Raw genomic sequence first — 7,255 nt, forward strand, 5'->3', positions numbered from 1 at the left:
GAGTCTCTCCCCATAGCCACCATAGCTGGGAATATGTTGGGTCACACCTGAAGCCAGCACAACTCTGAATCTCACCCAAGGCCTACAGTGAGTGCTGACTGGCTACCACTGCTGATTATTCTGGGCTCAAGGGCTCTTTAGTCAACAGGTGATGATTTCTGCTAGGACTGAGTCTTTCCCTTTAAGGCAACAGTTTCCCTTCTGGCCCAGGGTGTGTTTAGAAATGGCATCTGGGAGCTAGGGCCTCAAGAATCTTCCTCGGTTCCCTATTCTACTATGGCTAAGCTGGTATACAACTTGCAAGATAACATCCTCTTTGCTTTCCACTCTTCTCTCCTCAAGCCCAGGGAAGGAGTCTCTCCCAGAGCTGCAAGTTGTGCTGCCTGGTGTTGAGGGAGAGGGTGATGCAAGCACTCCCTTGGCCACTCCAGCTTGTCTCACTATGTTGTGTGCCCCCTAGCCCACTGGCTCCTAGCTCGGCAGAGCACCAGGACTTGCCCAGGAGTTGCTGTCCTTGTGGCCTAGACTGCCTTTCAAGTTTATTTAAGATCCTATAGCCCTTTAGCATACAGTGGTGGGGCTTGCTGGAACTTAGGTTCCAACCACTGGGCTGGATAATTTGCCTTTGTCTAAGGTTGGTCTAAATGCTCCCTCTATGGGCACCGGCTGAATTCTGCCCCATGTTGCTTTCCACTCTGACAGGGCAGCACTGAATTCCAATGCATAGTCCCACAACCACTGTGCTCTCCCTCCATCAAGTGCGTGGATTCTCTCTCCATGTGCCGTGTGACCACTGCCGGGGAAGGGGGAGGGGTTGTGTAGGCGATTGGGGACTGTCTTTCCTACCCTCTTCAGTGCCTCTTTCTTTAATATGATGTTATAATAAAACCAGGTACTGTGATTTCTTAATTTTTGGTTCTTGTGAAGGTGTATTTTTGTGTAGATAGCTGTTCAATTTTGTATTCCTGTGTGGGGAACAATTGTGGGAGGCTTCTATTCAGCCATCTTGCTCTACTTCCCCCTCCAACTGAGGTTTCATATAAATTTGAATATCAGCTTATTAATTTTCACAACAACCTTGTGACTTTTTGGGGGAGAGATTTTATTGACTCCACAAATGAAGTTGGGAGGAAATGATATATTAACAAAATCAAGATTCCAGCCTATGAACATGTATATTCATGTTCATAAGCATATTCCTATATTTAAATCGGTTTTTAAAAAATTTCTCAGAAATATCTTATGGTTTTTAGTGTAAAGACCTTACACATCTTTTTAAAGATTTATTTCTAGGTATTTGCCTATTTTTGGAAGATATTGTAGTTTTAAAAATTTGTACTTACTCTCATGATCTAGATAAATGAAATTGATTTTTATATTTTGAACTCATACCAACCTCCTTAAAACAGCTATTAATTCAAAACTTTTGTAGATACTTTTGGATTTTTTTCACTTCTAATCCTTATACCTTTCCCTCCTTTCTTCCTTGACTTATTATGCTGATTAGGATCTCTAGTATGACATCAAATAGAAGTGTTGCTAACAGATATCTTATCTTGTTCCTGATCTCAGGGGAAATTTTTAAGATAATTTAACAATAATTATGATGTTTGCTGTAGGATTTTTGTAGCTGCTATTTTTTCAGATTGAGGAAGTTCCCTTGTCTTCTAAGTTTGCTAAGAGGCTTTCTTTTTTTTTTTTCAAATCACAACTGAAAGTAGAATTTTATTAAATATCTTTTCTGCATCTAGTGAGGTGATCATATGATTTTCTGTCCTTTTTTCCTGTTAATATAGTAAATTATAAGTTAAATGAATTAATTTTCCATAAGCTTCATGTGGTTGTGATATATTAGCATTGTTAAATATCACTAAGTTAGATTTACACACACACACACACACACATTATTAATGTGATTTTTATTTCTTGGAATGTCCTTTACAAGTTTTGGTTTTGGTGGCTTCATAAAACAAGATGAGAAGTGTTCCATGTTTTCTCTCTCTTTTTTTTTTTTTGGAAGTATTCGTGTAAGATTAATGTTATTTACTCTCCAAGTGTTGGAAACACTTTGTCAGTGAAGCCATTTAAGCCTGGAGTTTTACTTTGTGGTGAGGTTTTTAATAACAGGTTTCAGTTCTTTCATAGATCTAGGACTATTTATTTTTGTTTCAATTTTATTGAGTTGTGTTTCTTAAAGAATTTGTCCACTTTCTCTAAGGCTGCTTCTACCCTAACTCCCTTGCTCTTCTTTTCTTAGGTCCCCCAACTACACTTATATTAGTCTTTCCCACTATTATATATATATATATCTTACAACCTTTTCAGCAATATCAATGCTTTTTACTTCTACACTTCATTCTAGATACTATCTAGTGCACTAATTCCATTTTCAACTTTGCCCAATCTGCTGTTAAATCCATCTGTTGAGCTCTTAATTTTAGCTATTTTATTTCCTGTTCCAGACTTCCATTTGGCTTTTTATTGTAGATTCCAATTCTGTGGAACCTGTTCATCACAATTATTTTAAAGTCTTGGTCTGATAACTCCAATATTACCTGTTTCTGTTTCTAGCCTCTCTCTTTTTCTCTTGCTCCTATTTATTTGTATGTCAGTAATTTTTACTGAATAGATCAAGAACGTGAAGGATTAGACCCTCCTCCTCCCTGCCTATTTCTGACCCAAGAGATGAGGCCTAAACTGAGATTGAAGAGAAGATTTGAATTCAGAATGAGATTGAAGTTTTGATTTAAACTCTGAAAAGCTTTAATACCTGAAAAGAAGATTGTTTTAAAAAATGAAAGTGCTTATGTTTCTCTTATTGTTTCTTCAGAGTTTAAAAGAATACAACTCTTTGTCATATAAAAAATGGTTTTGACTGAATGCCCAACATTGTGTATGAAACATATAGAGACTCCAGATCATGTTATCTTCCTTCAGAGGATATTGCCTTTTCCTCTGTCAGGCAGCAGAGAATTAGATAAATGTAATTCAACTTGGGGCTTTGCTAACTGAAAGCTAATTTGCGGTCTTTGTATGTCCCAGTTTGCTTCTGGTTTACTCCCACTTCTAGGGCGTAGCTCTCTAGGAGTTCCAACTAAGAATCAGGGTTGTTTGTTGGAACTCCTCCTACTTATAAGGTCATGAACTCCAATTTTTCACCCTCGAACATTGTGAGCCTGCTTGCTTGCTCTACTTTGTTGATGCTTTCTGATTGGCTTCTTACCCTAATTTTCTGCACAGTTTAAACTGTAAATGCCTCTAGAAGAACACTGGTTCCAAGCGCTAGGTTCTATTCTCTGTCCCTTCTATCTCTCTGAGAGCTTGGTCTCTCAACACCTAGCTGCATTGTCCACTGAACACTTTTAATCTCCCCAGCCCCAAGAGGTGACCTAAAACTGCTCTGCTAAATTCTTTATCTCATTCTCCATGCCAAAAACATCAAGGAGGAAAATAAGTGTCCATGAAGTAAGCTCACCTTAATGAGCTCCCTTCTTTCTGGATCTAGTTTCTCAAGTCCTGGCTACCTTAGTAGCCTTCTTATTTCTTCTCAAAAAATGTTTATAAAAACCTGCCTTTTCTACTTTTTCTTGTTAAAATATTCATCTCTACTACAAGCTACTCAATCATAGAAGACCTCTGAACTCATGATTAAAATACGTGCATGCGTGTGTGTGTGTGTGTGTGTGTGTGTGAGTGTGTGTGTATGTATTTCTATCTCTGTTCATTGATTGACTGGATATAGGAGTAATGACCCTGTAGTAGCATACATACCTAACACCAAGATATTTGTTTCTATGCATCATTTCTTACTTAAACTAATCAGGTTTCTTTGGAGAAACTACTGATTTCAGTGAAAGTACAAGCACAATGTGAGCCTAGATATAGATATCTTGCTATACCAGTGATATGGTTTGGCTATGTCCCCACCCAAATCTCATCTTGAATTGTAGCTCCCATAATCCCCACATGTTGTGAGAGGGACCCAGTGGGAGGCAAATGAATCATGGAGAAGGGTTTTTTTTCCCTGCTGTTCTCATGGTAGTGAATAAGACTTACAAGATCTGATGGTTGTATAAAGGGCGGTTCTCCTGCACATGCTCTCTTGCCTGCTGCCATGTAAGACATACCTTTGCTCCTCCTTTGCCTTCCACCATGATTGTGAGGCCACACCAGCCATGTGGCACTTGAGTCCATTAAACCTCTTTTTTCTTTATAAATTACCCAGTCTCGGGTATTTCTTCATATCAGTATGAAAATGGATTAATACAACCAGAAAGTAAGAAAGTGATCAGAGAATGATGGGGACATTTCATAAGGACACAGGAAGCAACTTGAAGGGACACCCACTGGCCAAGTCTGGGATAATTTAAACATAAAAAAAATTTGGTAATAGTTTATAGTACATTGAGTTAAGAAAAAAAAATCCATAAATTCATGGTAATATTCAAAGTAAAATAAAAGGAGAGGAGAAAAAAGAATTCCCAGTGTGTTTTTTTTAAAACAGAAGAATGCCAGCTACTAAATGTAGAAGGAATAAAATAATTAGAAAAGCAATACTTTTTAACACCCAAAGTAATAATTGGCTCAGGTAAGGATCATCAGAGGATGCTAATATGACTGGGTAAAATGTTGAAAATAAGTCTCAAAATATCACTCTACAGACTACTTTTAAAGAGAAAAAATGTGCTTTCTCAATGGAAAAGTCTGGTGGTCATCACTTTAACCAAGTGGTCAAGCTTGGCAATGCCAATAGTGGTTTTGCTTGATGATGTGCCTTCAGTATGATCAAGAGGAAGGTACACAACGTCATTTATGTGATGTTCTTGCTGGAAATGTTTGATCTAACTATCATAGCGAGGAAAGAGGCAATTCTAGAATGTGAGGTATGATGGAGGACATCCTACCTGGACTCTTTAAAGAGACACTCAAATGCTCTGAGTGAATCTTGAGTGGATCTTGGATTGGAAAAACAGAAGCTATAAAGGATATTTTGGAGGATAATCGAAGGAATTTTAGTGAAGACTGGATGCTGGATGATATTGAATTCATGGTGACTTTCTTAGGTGTGTTGGTATTGTGGTTATAGGAATCAGTTTATTCTTGGAAAATACATCCTGAAATATTTTGCAGTGAAGTGTCATGATGAAAGCAACCTACTTTTGTATGATTTGGAAAAAAAGGATGTGTGGGTATGGGTGTGTATTTAGATAAATAGAGTGGATGTATCCAGATGTTAACAGTTGGCAAACATAGGTGAGAGGTATGCAGGTCTTGAAAATTAGAAGAAAAAACTCTTGTAGCGTTTTATTTTTTCAACGAAAATCCACAAGATGGCAGTAGAGGAACACCCTCAGAATGGGTTTCTTGGGGGCCTCTTATAAGGTGACATTTTCTGATTTGAAAAGCAGGATGAGAGATCCAACAAAGGATTGTTTTGGCTTTGTGAATACATTTACATGTAATGTTATACAAAGGTATGAAGACAAAATGCCGTTTGGTTGTATCATTCTATGAATTGCTTTCATCGAAATAAATACCATTTTGTTAAATTTGGTCCATAAACTCCTGAAATGTGTCCAAAATGTTATGTGTATGAGCATTCTCCTTTTATGATGAGAATATCTACAGTTTCTACTATGTCTCAAAGGGGTCAATTATTGCTCCCCAAACTTAGAAGCTTGAGGGGTTCAAGAAAGTGGCACTAGATCAATGCCTTAATCACATCAGAACTGGTAGTAGTTTAAGCCATTTCTCTTTAATATGTGCTTTGAAAGTGAGTTTAGTGAAGTGCTCTGGCAGTGCTTATTTGTTAAATGGATTGATGTAGGAACTAGTGGATGTGGATGGATAGGAGTCAGAAGACCTGGGTGTGAATGTAGCACTTATGCCATCCTCTTCCCCAACATCTTTCCCCAAACACACACACCAAGTTAAAACTGTAGCCAGCAAGATGTTTGTGGTCACATAAAACAATTCTCCCCCAAACAAAATCAGTTGTTTGCCTGTATTTCATTTTTTTACTCCCCAAACAGAAACAGCTTATTGGTCAGTGGAGATGCCTGCAATATAAAATTTTCTCTTTATAAACATTTGTGAAAAGAGTTCATATTTTTAGGGCAACATGAGCCAAGCTTGTAATTGCGGGAAGCTTCTAGTCTTCTGTGAGTGTCAGCTTGCCTCTTGTTCCCACCTTCAACCCCTGCCACCCCAAGAGTTTTGGTTTGGATCAGGACTAGGTTTCTATAAACTGCAACGTGAGCTGCTAGGTGATCACAGTAAGAGCCAAGCCACATAATGCTCTTCTTTCGATTCATTGGGCAGATAGTTGTCTTAGAAACTTACATGATGACTTGATTGTAAAATAAAATCCCTGTTGAGCAACTTGATCTGGCTATTTGGGTGGAATGGATTTTTTTAAAAGTGTAAACTAAGGGAAAATAAAATACTCATTTAAAATGTGTTGGCAGCGTGTAGTTGGCTTAAAATGTCATTTACTGAGTTGTTACCATTTTTGCTCTCTCAATTTTATTAGTATTAAAAATTCATTATTGAGGGACCATGAGCTACATGCAATTAGTAATGTGACTGAAAGTGAGAGACTAAATAGTAAGATGGTCATGTCTTTAGAAATAAACTTTTAACTTCTCTTTACTGCATTCCCCATGGAAATACCATGTTGTGCCATGTTGTTCCTTAAAAGAGCTTACGTTCAGTAGAGAACTGGTGAAATAAATAATGACACATTCATATATTGAGATTGTATGTAACTGTTGAAAATAATGACATAGATTCATATATATTGACATGGAAAGATATCCAAGCTGAACTGTAGGAGAAACAGAGCAAGTTGCAGAGCTATATGTAAAGCAGAATACTATTTTGGAGTATACATTTGCTATTATATGTTCAGAAAATAAGATATGGGAGATCATATAAAAATTTGCTTAAAGCGATTTATTTATGTTGTGGGGAAAGGAGTAGTATTGTAGTACAAGGGAACTTATGTTTTGTGTTTCATATGTTTTTCTGTTGTCTGGATTTTTAAAAATGAGAATGTAGTCTGAATAAATAATGATATAAAGGGAGTGTATGTTGGCACTATCCTTTGAGACCTTCATGTGCTAAATATAATTGTGCAGTATGATCAGTTCTGTCATTCATCTTGAATAGACAACAGCTAAAGAGAGCCAGCTGGTTAACTTATAAGTTATATCCCTTCCACATTCAAAGATGTTTACAATATTAATAGACTGAA

This window comes from Homo sapiens, chromosome X (assembly GCF_000001405.40).
Source record: "Homo sapiens chromosome X, GRCh38.p14 Primary Assembly".
Taxonomy (NCBI): domain Eukaryota; kingdom Metazoa; phylum Chordata; class Mammalia; order Primates; family Hominidae; genus Homo; species Homo sapiens.